Below are 19,272 nucleotides of genomic sequence, written 5' to 3' on the forward strand. Positions count from 1 at the left end.
AAAAGCCAAAATAATATTTAAAAGAAGAACAAAGTTAAAGATACATCTTGACTTCAAAACTAACTACAGAGTTACCATAATCAAAACAATGTGGTACTGGCATAAAGATAGACACACAGACCAACAGAACAGAATAGAGAGCCCAGAAATAAACTCTCGGATATATGGTCAAATGATTTTTGACATAAGTGCCAAGACAGTTCAATGCAGAAAAGACAGTCTTTTCAAAAAATGGTATGGGGAAAACTGAATAACCACATGCAGGAGAATGAAGTTAAACACATACCTTACACCATACACAAAAACTAACTCGATATAGGTCAAACATGTCAAAACTAAAACTATTAAAATTATTAGAAGAAAAAATACCAAGAAAGCTTCACAAGGCCTGAGTTAACAATGATTTCTTGGATATGACACCAAAAGCACAGGCAAAAAATGAAAAACTTCATCAAACTTTAACTTTTGTACATCAAAGGGCCCTATCAAGAGAGAAAAAGGAAACCCAGAGAACAGGAAAAAATACTTGCAAATCATGTATCTAACAAGGGATTTATATACAGAATATGCAAAGAATGTCTAAAACTCAAAAACAAAACAAATAACCAGATTAAAAAATGGGCAAATAATTTGAATAGACATTTCTCCAAAGAAGATGTACAAATGGTCAATAAGCCCACGAAGGTAATCCCAGCACTTTGGGAGGCTGAGGCAGACGGATCACTTGAGGCCAGGGGTTTGAGACCAGCCTGGCCAACCTGGTGAAACCTGGTCCCTACCAAAAATACAAAAATTAGCCGGGCATGGTGGCATATGCCGGTAGTCCCAGCAGCTACTCAGGAGACTGAGGCACAAGAATTGCTTGAACCCGGGAGGCAGAGGTTGCAGTGAGTGGAGATCATGCCACTGCACTCCAGTCTGGGCAACAGAGCAAGATTCTGTCTCAAAAAATAAAATAAAATAAAATAAGAAGTCTAGGTTAAACACGATGGGTATGTTCTCCAGTGGAGATAGCAGAAAGGAGGATTTGCAGTGAAAACTATTCAAAGACCAACTCAAATATTGTGTAGGGAGCAGGTGCTGGAGGAAGATGAGGCCCATTTTAGGTGCGTGAAGTTTCAGATGCCCAAGGGGCAGCTAGGGACGCCCAGCATGCAGCAGAGCAGAGGACCTGGATGCCTAGAGCTGAGCAACAGGTGAAAGTGCCGACGTCCAGTGAATCCCAGGAGGAGAAAATAAGGCCATAGAGTAGATTGGTTTGTTGAGGGGGAAAGTTTCAAAAGAAAAGAGAATGTGGGGGATTTTTTGTTTTTGTTTTCTTGGGGGGAGACGGTCTAGCTCTGTCAGCCAGGCTAGAATGCAGTGGCACTACCTCGGCTCACTGCAGCCTTGACCTCCTGGGCTCAAGTGATCCTCCCACCTCAGCCTCCCAAGTAGCTGGGACTACAGGCATGTGCCACCATGTCTGGCTAATTTTTACATTTTTTTGTAGAGACAGGGTTTTGCCATATTGCCCAGGCTGGTGGTCTCGAATCCCTGAGCTCAAGTAATCTGCCCACCTCAGCCTCCCGAAGTGCTGGGACTACAGGCATGAGCCACTGCACCCAGCTGAGAAGAATGTTTAAAAAAAAATAAAAAAATCAAAAGAACATCTATAATGAAGGGTAAGGGGGAAAAAAGGCAACAATCATAAAAGCAGCCAGAGAAATAAACTGTAGCATGCCTCCTCCCAGAGAAGTAGTCAGCCTCGTTAAAGTGTAGCTATGGAAAAATAAGAAAACAGAAACTCTTAAAGTATATAAACCACTGCCGACCTTTGGAAAAAAATTAAGTTAACTGGGAGAGCCAGACTCAGACTAGAAAGGGTCAAAATAATCAGGTGTTAAGGAAGTTGAAAGGCCAGGCACTGTGGCTCACGCCTGTAATCCCAGCACTTTGAGAGGCCGAGGTGGGCGGATCACTTGAGATCAGGAGTTCAAGACCAGCCTGGCCAACATGGCGAAACCCGTCTCTATTAAAAATAAAAAAATTAGCCAGGCGTAGTGGCGCACACCTGTAGTCCCAGCTATTTGGGAGGCTGAGGCAGAAGAATTGCTTGAGCCCAGGAGGCGGAGGTTGCAATGAGCTGAGATTGTCCTGTTGCTCTCCAGCCTGGGCAACAAAGCGAGACTCCATCTCAAAAAAAAAAAGTAGTTGATAAAGGAGATGTAGATATATTTTAATTTTTTTTAAATCCAAGCATCCTCCTCAGAGAAGCCTTCCTCACTCACTGTCTAAAGTAGCATTATCCACTCCCAAACTCTCATCCCCTTACCTTACTAATTTTCATAGCACTTCTAAATGCCTGTATTGTTTGCTCCTCTTTTATGAAAAAAGGTATTTGGTCTCTTGTTCATTGCTATACTCCCTGCCCCTAGAGCAATGCTATTTGTTTTTGAATACTTTTTCCTGAATAAAGATGTTTTACTGAAAATATTCCTGGCTAAGACAGCACTTTGGCCAATTTGACAACTAACTACTAAAAAGTCAGAGGAGTAAAGTATTCACTTTGAGCATGATACTTTTATTTTTTAATGGCTGCACAGAGTATGTTTGGACCAGCAGCACACGGGTGAGGGCAAAGAACAAAGTTAACACAGCCGTGAATCACGCTCCCAAATCGCCCCAGCTCCACTTTCCGCTCAGCAGTCAGTCATTCCCTTATTGAGCCATTATATTGCTGTCACCATCACACAAGTCATCTCAGATGAAATGCTTAGAGAAAAATCCTCATGCCCAGATTATTTTTTTTAAATAACAGCTTTATTGAGGTGTAATTCACATACCATAAACTTCACCCTGCTAAAAGTGCACAATTCTGTGGCTTTGAGTATATTCATAGAGTTGTACATCATCACTATCTAATTTCAGAACATTTCATCACTACAAAAAGAAACCCCATATCTGTTAACAATCACTGCCTATTTCCCCTCCTCATAATCCCCTAGTAACCACTAATCTACTTTCAGTCTCTATGGATTTGCCTACTCTGGACATTTCTATAAATAAATCAAACAATATGTGGCTTTTTGTGTCTGGCTTCTTTCAGTTAGCATGTTCTCAAGGTTCATTTATGTTTTGGTGTGTATCAGTACTTCATTCTCTTGATTTCTGAATAATACTCCATTGCATGACTATACCACATGTTTATCTATTAAATAACTAATGAATATTCGAGTCATTTCTACTTTTTATTTTTATTTATTTTAGGTAGAGACAGGGTTTCACTCTGTTGCCCAGGCTGGAGTGTAGTGGCATGATCATAGTCACTGCAGCCTCAAGCTCCTGGCTCAAGAGATCTTCCAACCTCAGCCTCCCAAAGTGCTGGGACTACTACAGGCACATGCCACTGTGCCTAGCTATTTTTTTTTTTTTTCATTTTTTGTAGAGACAGGGTCTTGCTATGTTTCCCAGGCTGACCTTGGACTCCTGGCCTCAAGCAATCCTCCCGCCTTGGCCTCCCAAAGTGTTGAGATTACAGATGTGAGCCACCAAACTCAGTCTCTCCTTTTTAACTGTTAGGAATTATGCTGCTATGAATGTTCCCGTATTGATTTTGAAAGATATACTTTTTCTATAAAAGTATCTACTTTCAACAGAAATACCACATGAAAAGTTTTACTTCTTGTAAAGTAATTTTATTTTTTGAGACATGAGTCTTGTTCCGTCACCCAGGCTGGAGTGCTGTGGTGAGATCTTGGCTCACTGCAACCTCTGCTTCCCAGCTTCAAGCGATTCTCCTGCCTCAGCCTTCTACCTTCCGAGTAGCTGGGATTACAGGCGCCCGCCACCACGCCCAGTTAATTTTTGTACTTTTAGTAGAGATGGGGGTTTCACCATGTTGGCCAGGCTGGTCTTGAACTCTTGACCTCAGGCGATCCGCCCGTCTTGGCCTCTCAAAGTGCTGGAACTACAGGCGTAAGCCACAGCGCCCGGCCGTAAAGCAATTTCTTAATGCAGGCTTCAGGTTTCAAGATTAGAAAGGAGAAATAATTTCTAAAAATTATGCTTATTGGGCTGGGCACAGTGGCTCTCACCTGTAATCCCAGCACTTTGGGAGGCCGAGGCAGGCAGATCATGAGGTCAGGAGTTCGAGACCAGTCTGGCCAATATAGTGAAACCCCGTCTCTACTAAAAATACAAAAATTAGCCGGGCATGGTAGTGCATGGCTGTAATCCCAACTACTCGGGAGGGTGAGGCAGGAGAATCACTTGAACTCGGGTGGTGGAGGCTGCAGTGAGCCGAGATCATGCCACTGCACTCCATCCTGGCCAACAGAGCGACACTCCATCTGAAAAAAAAAAAAAAAAAAAAAAGAATTATGCTTATTGAACTCCTAGAGACTACAAAGAGAGGTTCAAAAAAATGGTTTAAATAATGAGTCGTACAACTCGTATTAATACAACTCCAAGGAAATAAGAGAACACCTTTTTGGGGTTTAATCATGTTGATATACTGTTATAGAGAGGGCAGGATAATATATTAAAACATTTAAAAACTCAGCTACCAAAAGATGGTTACCTGAAAGGGTAAGTTTGAATCCAATGCCCATATGTGTGGAAATACAACTCCCTAGACTTTGGCAAATAAAGAAAGTATCCCCTAAAACCCAAATTTTTATTGAAAAATATCAACAATAAATGTATATCCACTTAAAAGATAATATATTAGTTCTTTCCTGAGAAAAATCAAAGATATACCAAATTTAAGGCCAGATTAAAGACTTAAACAATTATTTCCAAGTAAATATAATAATACTCAATATTTAATTAACATTTACTTGTATCAGACACTGTTCTAAAGTTTTACTTTTATTAAACTCATTTTAATCTTCACAAAAATCATACGAGGAAGGTATTATTATTATTACACCTCTTTTTAAAGATATGGAACCTGAGGCACAGAGGTTAATATGTTTTATACAATACATAAAAACACCTTCAGGCCAGGCATGGTGGCTCACGCCTATAATCCCGGCACTTTGGGAGGCTGAGGTAGGTGGATCACTTGAGGTCAGGAGTTTGAGATCTGCCTGGCCAACATGGTGAAACCCCATCTCTACTAAAAATATAAAAAGTTAGCTGGGCATGGTGATGCGCACCTATAATCCCAGCTACTTGGGAAGCTGAGGCAGGAGAATCGCTTGAACCTGGGAGGTAGAGGTTGCAGTGAGCCAAGATCGCACAACTGCACTCCAGCCTGGGCAACAGACTGAGACTGTCTCAAAAAAGAAAAAAAAGAAAAAAGCCTTCAAAAAGGTAAAAGATACACCACAGTCTACTATACAAACTGAACAAAGTTCACCCCACAATGAAGCCCAACAGTAAGTTTCACTCATGGTCAGGTGCGGTGGCTCACTCCTGTAATGTCAGCATTTTGGGAGATCCAGGTCTGGGATCACTTGAGCCGAGGAGTTCGAGACCAACCTAGGCAACGTGTCAAAACCCTTTCTCTACAACAAATTTAAAAATCAGCCAGGCATGGTGATGCACACCTGTAGTCCTGGCTATTTGGGGGGCTGAGCTGGGAGGTTCACTTGAGCCCAGGAGGTCGAGGCTGCAATTAGCTGTAATCACACTACTGCCATCCAGCCTGGGAGACAGAGTAAGACCCTGTCTCAAAGAAAAAAAAAAGTCTTACTCATGCTCTCATAACTTCTATAGGCTTTGAAAAGTGTCAATATTAAATATGAATCAATAGCCAATTACAACCTGAGATCTGACATATGACTAGCACAAAGGAGAAAGATCTAGACAGACAAGAAAAAAAAAGTTTGAAAGACATGAAAATGTGGAAGAAAACCTTTAAAAGAACTATAATATCCTCAGAGAAGTGAGAAATTTCTTCATTAACCAAGATTGGATGCTATTAAAAAATGAACATCCGGTCAAAAAGTTAAAATTCTTAACCATTAAAAATAACAGCAGAAATAAAATATGCAATAGAAAGACTAGAAGACGGACTTGAAGACATCTCCCTGGTTAGGTTTTGTTACATGGCACAGTCAACCTTAAGAAAAATATCCCAGGCAGACACGACCTATTGAAGTGAGCCCTCAAAAGGGGCTAGCCTCTTCCTGGCAAAGAAGATGAGAAGTGTGAGTAAGTCCAGATATGGCTGTGTGGCCATGATTTGAGGGTGGCCTGTAAGAGCTGAGAGTGATCCCTTGCAAAAGAAAAAAGAAAAAAAAAAAAACAACAACAGTGAACTCTGCCAACAACCTGCGTGTACTTGCAAAAAGCCCCCAACCACAGATGAGAACACAGTTCAGCTGACACCTTAATTTCAGTCTTCACGGTCCCTGAGCAGAGAATTCAGCTAGGCTGTGTGCTTGGAATTCTGACCTTCAGAATTGTGAAATAATAAATGGGTGTTGATTTAAGCCTCTAAATTTATGGTAATTTGTTATGCAGCAATAGAAACCTAATTCGCAGGTTTAAAAGTCTAAAGGTAAACAGTAAAATTCTAGGACACCAAGGGTGAAGGGAAGATCCCATCTGACCCCGAACATTTTTTAGCTCGGCATATGGCCACCAAGAATAAAGACTACATTTCCTCGCTCCCCTTTAGCTAGTGTGGCCCCTTTAGCTAGTGTGGCCATGAATATTCGAGTCAATGGGATTAAGCAGAAGTCTCATATAACAGCCTCTGGGAATCTTCTAGAAGGGGCAGTCTGTATATATTCTTTGTCCCTTTTTTGCTTCCCCTAGCCTGCTTCCTGGGATTGGGATGCTCCCAATTGGGATGATATGGTCAAAGCCACACATTGTAGAACATTAAGACAGAAGAAATCTGAGTATTTGAGTATTTGCCACCTGCCCAAGACCACTTATCTAGACTTTTAGGTTACAGAGAAATAAACTAACTTTTTTTGTAAGTCACTGTATTAGGTTATCTGTCATTCTTTTTTTAGGGGTGGGGGTAGGTAGAGATAGGGTCTCACTATATTGCCCAGGCTGGCCTCAAACTCCTGGCCTAAAGTGGTCCTCCCTCCTTAGCCTCCCAAAGCACTGCTATTACAGACATGAGCCACTGAGCCCAGCCTGTCATTCTAATTTTAATTTATATACTTCCAGTGATTAAATAATAATCAGGTCACACACACAGGAACAGGAATAAGAATAGCACTAGACTTCTCAACAACAACACTAAAAGCTAGAAAACGGTGACACAATACCTCCAAAATTCTGAGAGAAAGTGATTTCCAACCTAGAAATCTATACATAGCCAAACTATCACTCAAATACAAAGGTAAGAGGTATTTCCAGACATAAGAATTCTCAAAAAAAATATTTCCCATGCAACCTTTCTCAAGAAGCTCCTGAAGGCTGTGCGCCACCAAATGACAGACAAATCAAGATGGAGGAAGACATGGGGCCCAGGAAACAGGAAATCCAATATCAGAAAGTGGTGAAGAGAATTCCCAGAATGACTAAGACATAAGCTCCAGAATGACCACCATGTGTACAGCTCTGGAGGCCAACTAGTCTAGGCAGAGCAAGAAGACATAAAAAATCAGGCTGGGCACGGTGGCTCACACTTGTAATCCCAGCACTTTGGGAGGCAAAAGTGGGCAGATCATTTAAGGTCAGGAGTTCGAGACCAGCCTGGCCAACATGGTAAAACCCTGTCTCTACTAAAAAATAGAAAAATGAGCTGGGTGTGGTGACACACACCTGTAATCCCAGCTACACAGGAGGCTGAGGCAGGAGAATCCTTTGAACCCGGGAGGCAAAGGTTGCAGTGAGCTGAGATCGTGCCACTGCATTCCAGCCTGGACAACAGAGAAGACTCTGTCTCAAAAAAAAAAAAAAAAAAAAAAGACATAAAAAAATCAGGAGAGCTGCTCCCAGAAGGGATAATTACATGACATATATGATCATAGTAAAAGACAGTAAAAAGACCTTTGGAGCTCTTACAAAGACTTTAAAATTACGTGATGAGAAAAAGAACTAAACTAAGAAACCCCATGCAATTGTTTTTTGTTTGTTTGTTTGTTTGTTTGTTTTGAGATAGAGTTTCGCTCTTGTCACCTAGGCTGGAGTGCAATGGCACAATCTTGGCTCGCTGCAACCTCCGCCTCTCAGGTTCAAGTGATACTCCTGCCCCAGCCTCCTGAGTAGCGGGGATTATAGGTGTGTGCCACCATGCGCAGATAATTTTTGTATTTTTAGTAGAGATGGGGTTTCACCATGTCGGCCAGGCTGGTCTGGAACTCCTGACCTCAGGTGATCTGCCCATCTCAGCCTCACAAATGGCTGGGATTATAGGCGTGAGCCACTGTGCCCAGCCTGCAATTGTTAACTCCAGAAAAAATAAGGCGTTATACCAAAACAAACAAACATAGGCCCCTAAGTGGCTCAAGCTAGCACAGTCAGAATAACATAAACTCAATATTTATTTAACCAAAATCTAGTCATAGGCTAAGAGAATGAAAAAGGTGAAGTAGCTTTGGCAAGGATTAAGAATGGGAGAAACAGGCTGGCACGGTGGCTCACACCTGTAATCCTAGCACTTTGGGAGGCTCAGGCAGGGATCACTTGAGCCCAGGAGTTCAAGACCAGCCTGGGAAACATGGCAAAACCTCGTCTCTACAAAAAGCATATAAATTAGGTGGGCATGGTGGCATGAGCCTGTAGTCCTAGCTGTGAGGCTGAGGTCAGAGGATCGCTTGAGCCCGGGAGATTGAGGCTCCAGGGAACAGTGATTGTGCCACCGCACTCCAGCCTGGGTGACAGAGTGAGACCCTGTCTCAAAAACAAACAAACAAAAAGAATGGGAGAGACAAAGAGCAGAAAAAATTGCTTATCTTCCAGAGATAAGCCAACAGAAAATCTAAAATTAGAAAAATAAAACAACAATGAAAGAGGATACAAACAAATGGAAGAACATTTCATGCTCATGGGTAGGAAGAATCAACATTATGAAAATGGTCATACTGCCCAAGGTAATTTATAGATTCAATGCCATCCCCATCAAGCTACCAATGCCTTTCTTCACAGAACTGGAAAAAACTACTTTAAAGTTCATATGGAACGAAAAAAGAGCCTGCATTGCCAAGTCAATCCTAAGCCAAAAGAACAAAGCTGGAGGCATCAGGCTACCTGACTTCAAACTATACTACAAGGCTACAGTAACCAAAACAGCATGGTACTGGTACCAAAACAGAGATATAGACCAATGGAACAGAACAGAGTCCTCAGAAATAATGCTGCATATCTACAACTATCTGATCTTTGACAAACCTGACAAAAACAAGAAATGGGGAAAGGATTCCCTATTTAATAAATGGTGCTGGGAAAACTGGCTAGCCATATGTAGAAAGCTGAAACTGGATCCCTTCCTTACACCTTATACAAAAATTAATTCAAGATGGATTAAAGACTTACATGTTAAACCTAAAACCATAAAAACCCTAGTAAGAAAACCTAGGCAATACCATTCAGGACATAGGCATGGGCAAGGACTTCATGTCTAAAACACCAAAAGCAATGGCAACAAAAGCCAAAATTGACAAATGGGATCTAATTAAACTAAAGAGCTTCTGCACAGCAAAAAAAACTACCATCAGAGTGAACAGGCAACCTACAAAATGGGAGAAGATTTTTGCAACCTATTCGTCTGTCAAAGGGCTAATATCCAGAATCTACAATGAACTCAAACAAATTTACAAGAAAAAAACAAACAACCCCATCAAAAAGTGGGCGAAGGAGATGAACAGACACTTCTAAAAAGAAGACATTTACGCAGCCAAAAAACACATGAAAAAATGCTCATCATCACTGGCCATCAAAGAAATGCAAATCAAAACCACAATGAGATACCATCTCACACCACTTAGAATGGCGATCATTAAAAAGTCAGGAAACAACAGGTGCTGGAGAGGATGTGGAGAAATAGGAACACTTTTACACTGTTGGTGGGACTGTAAACTAGTTCAACCATTGTGGAAATCAGTGTGGCGATTCCTCAGGGATCTAGAACTAGAAATACCATTTGACCCAGCCATCCCATTACTGGGTATATACCCAAAGGATTATAAATCATGCTGCTATAAAGACACATGCACATGTATGTTTATTGCAGCACTATTCACAATAGCAAAGACTTGGAACCAACCCAAATGTCCAACAATGATAGACTGGATTAAGAAAATGTGGCACATATACACCATGGAATACTATGCAGCCATAAAAAATGATGAGTTCATGTCCTTCGTAGGGACATGGATGAAGCTGGAAACCATCATACTCAGCAAACTATCGCAAGGACGAGAAACCAAACACCGCATGTTCTCACTCACAGGTGGGAATTGAACAATGAGAACACATGGACACAGGAAGGGGAACATCACACACTGGGGCCTGTTGTGGGGTGGGGGGAGGGGGAGGGATAGCATTAGGAGATATACCTAATGCTAAATGACCAGTTAATGGGTGCAGCACACCAACATGGCACATGTATACATATGTAACAAACCTGCATGTTGTGCACATGTACCCTAAAACTTAAAGTATAATAATAATAAAATTTAAAAAAAGAAAAACAACAATTAGTGACAACTATGTTATCTATAAACAGGAGGTTAAAAAAAAAACTCAAGTTAAAACTAACAGTATTAAAAGTAGGTACTTCTGGAAGTGGTAAAGAACCACCTCAAGGTCTCCTTCCCCTTAAGCAAGGACACAGAACTAGGATGGAGGCTAGACCCAGATAACAGAGAACCCCCAGCTCACATCCTCTACTCCTACCCCAAGACTAGCAACTACTGAGAACAGGCAACAGCAGTCTCTTAGCGGACAGAAGCCAACGTGTGGAGAGAACCCGCTGAGGCACACAAGGCAGGCCTAAGGTTGAGGGTGAAGCAGGAACACGGGGGAACACCTTCCAGTGAATCAGCCTGTGCCCTCTGCAGAGGTAACACCGAATTTGGAAACTGAAGGAAGGTGAAGCCTGAGGTGCACTGGAAGTAACCATAGCAACAGCTAATCATAGCAACAGAGATAAATGATGCCTTCAATGGGCTCATCAGTAGATATCAGAGTACCACTGAGGAACGTTCAGTAAACTTGAAGACAGGTCAGCAGAAATCAGCCAAACTCTAAGAGAAAAAGGAAAGAAAAAAGAAGAAACAGAACTGAGCACCCAATAGCTGTATAATGACATCAGTGTAGTACAAGGCAGTAGTTTCTCAATATAGCAAAAAAAAAAAAAAAAAAAAAAAAAGAAAGAAAGAAAAAGATGATGAAAGTAGTATCTGCTACCATTTGTCCATCTAACTTTGCCCTTCAGAATGCTGAGTTCTATTAACCGTTTCCTTAACTCTGCAGGTCAGCCCTCCCACTGTTCCCTGCTGAACCTGCCACTCATTACCATAACTGTGCCCCCCTGGCTCCTGATGGTTAAGTGCTGCCTCTCCTGGCTTCTACTGCCTTGGGGTCCAATCACTTTCCCCACACCACCCCTTGCTGTCAGTGAACTCAGGTCCACAGTGGCATTCTCACAGCAGCCCCAGACCCTGAAGGGGAATTGCCAGGGAGCTTCTCCGTGAGGCTGTTGCCTTTCTCACCAGCAATTTCTTCTGCTTTGGTAAATGATAGGACCTCTAAGCCCTTCCATGGCATTTAATTACCTGATATGTTTTCTGGACTTCATACTACAGCCAATCTAGCATGCCCACTTATTAAGGCTCACGCCTGTAACCCCAGCACTTTGGGAGGCCGAGGCAGGAGGATCATGAGGTCAGGAGTTCTAGACCACCGTGACCAACATGGTGAAACCCCGTCTCTACTAAAAATACAAAAAATAGCTGGGCATGGTGGCAGGCACCTGTAATCCCAGCTACTTGGGAGGGTGAGGCAGGAGATCATTTGAACCCGGGAGGCGGAGGTTGCAGTGAGCTGAGATTGCACCATTGCACTCCAGCGCGGGCAACAGGTCGAGACTCCATCTCAAAACAAAAAACAAAAAACAGCAACAACAAAAAACCTGTCTTTCATGGCACTTCTGGCCTCTTGACATCTCTTAATGGGGACCATTTCTTTTTCCCTGATCCTAGGACCCATCCAAGTACAACTCAATCTGCACCATCAAAAGATATCAACAGTGAAAGGTAAGAGGCAGAAGAGAGTCACCCCATTAAAAGTCATGATACCGGCTGAGCGCAGTGGCTCACGCTTGTAAACCCAGCACTTTGGAAGGCCAAGGCAGGCAGATCACCTGAGGTCAGGAGTTCAAGACCAGCCTGGCCAACATGGTGAAACCCTGACTCTACTAAAAATACAAATCTTAGCCAGGCATGGTGGCATGCGCCTGTAATCCCAGCTACTCAAGAGACTGAGGCAGGAGAATTGCTTGAACGCGGGACACAGAGGTTGCAGTGAGCTGAGATCATGCCACTGCACTCCAGTTAGGGCAACAGAGCTAGACTCTTGTCTCAAAAAAAAAAAAAAAGAAAAGAAAAAAAAAGAAAAGAAAAATTAGCCAGGCATGGTGGCACACACCTGTAATCCCAGCTACTTGGGAGGCTGAGCCAGGAGAATTCCTTGAACCTGGGAGGCAGAGGTTGCAGTGAGCTGAGATCGCGCCACTGCATTCCAGCCTAGGCAACAGGGCAAGACTCCATCTCAAAAGAAAAAAAAAAAAGTTATGATACCTTGTCCAGTTTCTGGACCTGAGTCAACTTTGGACATAGAACTATTTACTGAAGGAGAGGCCAGATCCTCCAGGGAAAGATTCTGCAACACCAAAGCAAACATGAACTGTCGTGAATTCCCCCGACCATTCCCAAAGGGACCAATGATCATTTACTCAAGAAACTATACAGTGGAGAAAGCGGATCACCAAGACATCTCACAAGCTGTTAGATCTAAGGTCCAAACTGGCACTGACACCAAGAGATCCAAAATGTCATGAGGCCCCTGTGTTAGAAAGGGGGCATGCATGGGAGTGAGATGATAAATGGCGCCCTGGCTGAGGTCTGGCTCACGGTGCGGGTGCTGGTTGGGTCCAGAAATACACCTAGTGGTCATTCTCCTAGTCCCTGAATATGAAATTGGAATAGACACACTTAGTTGTTGGTACAACCCTCACATTGCCATCTTGGTCTATTGTATAGGAGCCAAATGGAAGTGGCTACTCACCCCCAGCCATGGCCAAGACATATCAAAACCAATATCCCATATGGGAAGGGATGGCAGAAATCAGTGCCACCCTTAAAAACCTAAGAGAATGCAGGGGCCATGGTCCCTATCATATTTCCATTGAATTCACTCATCTGCCACTATAAAACCCAGATGGAATGTGGAGGATGACACTGAACTTCCAGAAACTCAACCAAATAGTGACCCCAATTATAGCCACTCTGCCACCTCAGGTACATGGTAAGCAGCAACCGATAGGGCAAATGTACCTTTTCTATCCCTATTAGGAAAAAAAATCAAAGACAGTTTGGATTCACATGGACAAGAGTATACATGTACAGCTTCCGCCTCATGCCATCTGGGAATCTGGCAGCAAATCACACTGGTCCACTTTATCAATAACATTGTCAATCAAGAAAAATGATGAGACAAGTCTCAATCATTTTAGATTTATTTGCCAAAGTTAAGGACACGCACCCAGGAGACAGACATCTTTCTCTGAAGATGATTTTTGAGGGCTTCAAATTTAAAGGGGAAAGGGCAGGATATTGAGAAGTACACAATTTTCAGGTAAGGGGGTGGGTGGGAAAAGATAGTCATGCCTTTGTCTGGCTCCATGAATCTGCATGTTTTTACATAAGATGACATAAACGGGGCAGAAGAAAAACGTAGGGAATCTGCATTCTACATAACACAGACAAAATGGGGCAGGGGAACAATTAGATATGCATTTGCGTGTGGTGGGCCTGGGTGACTGCACCTGTAAAGATAAGCTATCACTTTGCATTGCTCACTAGGAATTTCCTTGTGAGCAAAATATGGGGGAGGCATGTAGCTTTTCCTCTTGTAGCCACCTTATTTAGGAACCAAAAGGGGGAGGCAGGTTTGCATGACCCAGTTCTCAGCTTGATTTTTCCCTTTGGCAAAATGAGTTTGGGGTCCCAAAATTTAATTTCCTTTCATAACATCATGCTAACAGAACCAGGAGAAGAGGCTTCTTCTCCACGAGGCTAGGATGTTCAAAGCCTTGGTAAGACATATCTGATCCAGTGGGTGGGAGGTAAAACTTAGGAAGAATTCAGGAGCTTTTCCATGTCAGTAAATTTTTAGAAGTTCACTGGTCTGGGCAATGACAAGACACTTCCTCAGAAGAATAAATTACTGCATCTTGCACTTCCCATAACAGAAGGGAGCACAGTGCCTGGTTGGCTTCAACAGGTTTTGGGGCAGCTTATTCCACACCTAAAGATAATGCTCTGATTCGTATGCTAGAAGGCACCAAAGGCTGCCTGAACATTGGGGTCCTTGCATCCAAGGACCAGCAGGCAAGAATAGTCACCATCTTAGCAGAAGTAATTGAACTTGATCAGCAGAAAAAAGTAGGGCTGTACACATTGGGGATGTACGTGGAAGAACAGGTTTAGCATACGATGAGAAACTCAGGTGTGTCCTGGTATTCTCTTGTCCAATTTTTATGGTAAATGGACAAGGGCAGCAACTCCAGCCTAAGAAGGGCATGGTATCCAGGGGCTCAGACCTCCAGGGATGAGGGTTTCCAGAGTATCCACGTATCCATGACTGACTGTCCCAGTGTATAAAGGCCTGGCTGCTCATCCCCAACAGGGACAACTTTGAAGCATCATCTCCTCTGCAAAGCTTCGCACACAGCAGAAAGGCTGAGGCATCGCTTGAGCCGGCAGCACTACTTGACTTGTCCACTCCTGTCCACTTCTTCCCCACCCTCGTGCACAGGTGTGATGCCACGAGCACTCCATAAACCTGCTGCCCACTCATCTCCATCTCAGCTTCCCTGAGAACAGATCTAGAACAAATTATATGTATATATTTCAAGGCAGTCATTCTCCATCAAATGAAACGATACGTGTCAAGTTGTCTGGGCATCGCCTGAAACACAGTAGGCCTTCAATACATAAACATGAGAAATGGTCTCCTAGGAAATCCTAAAGCCCAGGATTATACATATATTCTGTATGTTAGGTGAGATAGAGAGAATTTCTGAGACACAGAACATAGGAAGCATTTATTGTATTTGTTTATTTACTATTTTAGAGACAGGGTCTTGCTCTGTCATCCAAGCTGGAGTGCGGTGGTGCCATCATAGCTCACTCACTGTAGCCTCAAACTCCTGGGGCTCAAGCGATCCTCCTGCCTCAGCCACCAGAGTAGCTGGGACTACAAGCACATGCCATACATCCAGCTTTGAGTTTTTTAGAGATGGGGTCTTGGCTGGGCACGGTGGCTCATGCCTATAACCCCAGCACTTTGGGAGGCTAAGGCAGGCAGATCACTTGAGCCCAGGAGTTTCAGACCAGCCTGGGCAACATGGCAAAACCCTGTCCCTACAAAAAATACAGAAAATTAGCCAGGTACAGTGGCACATGCCTGTGGTCCTAATTCCTGGGGAGGCTAGGGTGGGAGGATCACTTGAGCTCTGGATGTGGAGGTTGCAGTGAGCTGAGATTGCACCACTGTACTCCAGCCTTGGCGACAGAGCGAGACCCTGTCTATAGAGAAAGAGACAGAGACAGAGAGAGAAAGAGAGAGATATGGTGGGGGGCGGGAAGAGGGGGTCTTGTTATGTTGCCCAGGTTGGCCTCTAACTCCTGACTTCAAGCGATCCTCCTGCCTTCGCCTCCTGTGTAGCTGGGATTATAGGTGTGAGCCACTACACCCGGCTCTGGAAGCATGTGTTTTACAAGCATTCTCAGCTGGGCGTGGTGGCTCATGCCTGTGATCCGAGAACTTTGGGAGGCTGGGGTAGGAAGACCGCTTAAGGTTCAAGACCAGCCTGGGCAACACGGTGAAACCCTGTCTCTACAAAAGATTTTTAAAAATTAGCCAGGTACAGTGGCGCACGCGTATAGTTCTAGGTGGAAGGATCTGTTGTGCCCAGACGTTCAAGGCTGCAGTGAGCTATGAGGGCCCCACTGCACTCCAGCATGGGTGAAAGAGTGAGATCCTGTATCTAAATAAATAAATAAAAATTAAAAAAAAATAAAAGTATTCTCAATTCTGCTAAAAGGTCAGTGCAACAATCCAAATATTCATTATACATACCATATTCCTATTTTAAATTGATTATAAAAGGCATAAAAACTTTATAACTGCATCTGAAAGTAAAGTAAGGAACAAATACTAAACACAGTATTTTAAAATTCTGGTATTCTGATTTTTACCAAAGAACACTAGGGGGCACTAATGTACCAAGAAAAGCCCAAAGGTGCCTCAAGAGCTGGGGAACTGCATGATTTTTTTGTTTGTTCTGTTTTTGTTTGAGACAGAGTTTCGCTGTGGTCACCCAGGCTGGAGTGCGATGGCGCGATCTCGGCTCACTGCAACCTCCGCCTCCCAGGTTCAAGTGATTCTCCTGCCTCAGCCTCCTGAAGTAGCTGGGATTACAGGTACCCGACACCAGGCCCAGCTAATTTTTTTGTATTTTTAGTAGAGACAGGGTTTCACCATGTTGGCCAGGCTGGTCTTGAAGTCCTGACCTCAGGTGATCCACCCGCCTTGGCCTCCCATAGTGCTGGGATTACAGGCATGAGCCACCGTGCCAAGCTGGGGAGCTGCATTTTTTAAATATTCCAGAGGATAAGAGTTTAAAGTGCTTTATAATAAGCCAAATCCCTTTTCAACTCAACATTCTACTTACTGAATCACAGGATCATAAGATATTTTAAAATTATCTTCATGGTAAATGATCACATAGGAATGAGATAACTTGATTCTTTTCATGAGAATTAGAAACCAAACTCTTTGCACAATTCAGTCATGCTTAGATATTGAGCACATACATTTTTTAATTTTAATGTTTCCTACATAACACAATCATGTAACTTCAGCTAAATGTTATTTTCTAAGACAACAGATAACAAAATACAGCAGATCTTCAAACAACACCATTTCATTCAACATCATTTCATTGCAATGTTCACAAGAAAAAAAAATCGATTCTTGGAGGGGGCCAATGTCTGTTGGAGTTCACATGTCCTTGTGTCTGCGTGGGTATCTCAGGTACTCTGTTTTCTTCTCACCTCCTAAAGATGTGCATAGCAAGTGAACAGGCATGTCTGAACTGTCCCAGTGTGAGTGTGGGTGTGTATGTGAGTGGCCCTGTGACAAGATGCATCCTCTCCAGGCCTGGATCCCCCTGTGCTCCCTGAGCTGCCGGGATAGGTTCCAGCCACCCTCACACCTGAACTGGAATAAATGGGTAAATAATTATCTTGTTTTTACTAATGTTTCTAAATGTATGAATAGCTCACATTTATTTCAATGTTTAATATCAGAAGTGTTTGCTCTTCATTTAGAAGTGTGGTAATTTTCTTTTCTTTTTTGGCACAGAGTCTCACTCAGCTGCCCAGGCTGGAGTGTGGTGGCACAACTGCGGCTCACTGCAGCCTCAACTTCCTGGGCTCAAGTGATCCTCCCATTTCAGCCTCCCGAGTAGCTGGGACTACAGATGCATGCTACCACATCTGGCTAATTTTTGATTTTGTAGAAGTGAGGTCTCCCTATGTTGCCCAAGCTGGTCTTGAACTCCTGGGCTCAAGCAGTCCACCTGCCTCAGCGCCCCAAAGTGCTGGCATTACAGACATGTGCCACTATGCCTGGCAGTGATGTTTTTTTGTGACTATAATTATTCTGTAGGAACTTAACTCTTGTTTATATGCATTGGCCTATGGTGAAGTTGGTTTCCTTATACATCGTTTATCCAAAAGTTAGTTTCCAAAAATCTATCATTGACATTAAGTGAGGACTTACTGTATATATGCTGATGCTCATGTCAAACTAAGGCTCAATTTAGCATGGTCTCACGTTCAAAGTTCAAGAAAATAGCAGAAATGGCCAAATATGTAAAGAGCTGAACATAGATAAATGAACTTATTTGATCTAGGTGATTACAGAGATGGGAGGTAAAACTTACCTTGTGCTCATGGGGACACAAAAAACAAGACATGATAATTCCTTGCTAGCAAGATTAATGCAACTTAGTAGCAGAGTTAAGACACAGACTACAGACTGGGTGCAGTGGCTCCCTCCTATAACCCCAGCACTTTGGGATTGAGAGCACTTGAGGTCAGGAGTTTGAGACCAGCCTGGCCAACCAACATGGTGAAACCCTGTCTCTACTAAAAATACACACTATGGTGGCACATGCCTGTAATTCCAGCTACTCAGGAGGCTGAGGCAGGAGAATCACTTGAACCCGAGAGGCGGAGATTGCAGTGAAGTGAGATCGTGCCACTGCACTCCAGCCTGGGTGACAATGGGAGACTCCATCTCAAAAAAAAAAAAAAAAAAAAAAAGACATAGACAAAAATAACACTAATACAAGGTAGAAGACGAATGAAAGTGCTGTACTGTGCCCAGGAATCCTGGAAGAGTATAGTTTCCTTCCAGCTGCAAGATGTTAGGAAAGAATTTATGGATATTACATTTGAGTAGCACTTTGAATGGGTAGATCTGGGCCATGTAGAAATAGATGACAATAGAATTTTCTTAGGTATATAGAAAAGAATGAGCAAGACCATAAAAAAAAACAGCAAGTAGTTCACGTAGTCAGGCAAATCGAGCCATCTGCAGCTCATATTTGAAACCCCACAAAGTCAAGCATAGAAATTAACCACAACCTTTATTGTTTATTATAAAAGGTTCTTTTTTCTCAGCTTGAGTTAAGACTCCATATCTGGTTCACAAGTATCAATTTATGAACAAATAGACAAGAGTGGTATAAAATGTACTAATTCAAACATGCTTAGCACATACAGAATTGACTCATGGTAACGTATTAAAAGTTAGTTAAATCTAGTCATTAGAATAATGAAAAGTGTGAAACAATATAATAATAAATTTGTTCTTTAACTCATGATAAATTCACATAAAGCTTCCAATCACGTGCTTACGAAATAACCTTTAGGTATCATGTTGGACTATGGTCAACAACTAGAATATACAAGAAATACACTCTATGTCATAGTTAATTTTGCATATCATTTAAATAATCAAAAAAACATTAATATGGGGTAAAGCAACTTTTAGCTATGAAAGGATAAGACAACTGTTATC

General features: G+C 42.6%; 1 protein-coding gene and 2 long non-coding RNA genes across 4 annotated transcripts in view; 2 read left to right on the forward strand and 1 right to left on the reverse strand.

Annotated features, from left to right (window-relative positions):
* Window positions 1-16,523, forward strand: part of LOC124904267 (uncharacterized) — a 33,436-nt gene extending 16,913 nt beyond the window's left edge. The window contains exon 3 of the long non-coding RNA XR_007066312.1: window positions 16,485-16,523. This is a non-coding gene — a long non-coding RNA (uncharacterized LOC124904267). The remainder of the gene's footprint in view (window positions 1-16,484) is intronic.
* The window catches only part of OSBPL1A (oxysterol binding protein like 1A), a 235,780-nt gene that overhangs the window by 181,463 nt on the left and 35,045 nt on the right, over window positions 1-19,272 (reverse strand). The window lies entirely within an intron of this gene.
* Window positions 16,569-19,272, forward strand: part of LOC124904268 (uncharacterized) — a 42,640-nt gene continuing 39,936 nt past the window's right edge. Inside the window, exons 1-2 of the long non-coding RNA XR_007066314.1 lie at window positions 16,569-16,604; window positions 17,342-17,416. This is a non-coding gene — a long non-coding RNA (uncharacterized LOC124904268). The remainder of the gene's footprint in view (window positions 16,605-17,341; window positions 17,417-19,272) is intronic.

Source organism: Homo sapiens, chromosome 18, assembly GCF_000001405.40.
Source record: "Homo sapiens chromosome 18, GRCh38.p14 Primary Assembly".
Taxonomy (NCBI): domain Eukaryota; kingdom Metazoa; phylum Chordata; class Mammalia; order Primates; family Hominidae; genus Homo; species Homo sapiens.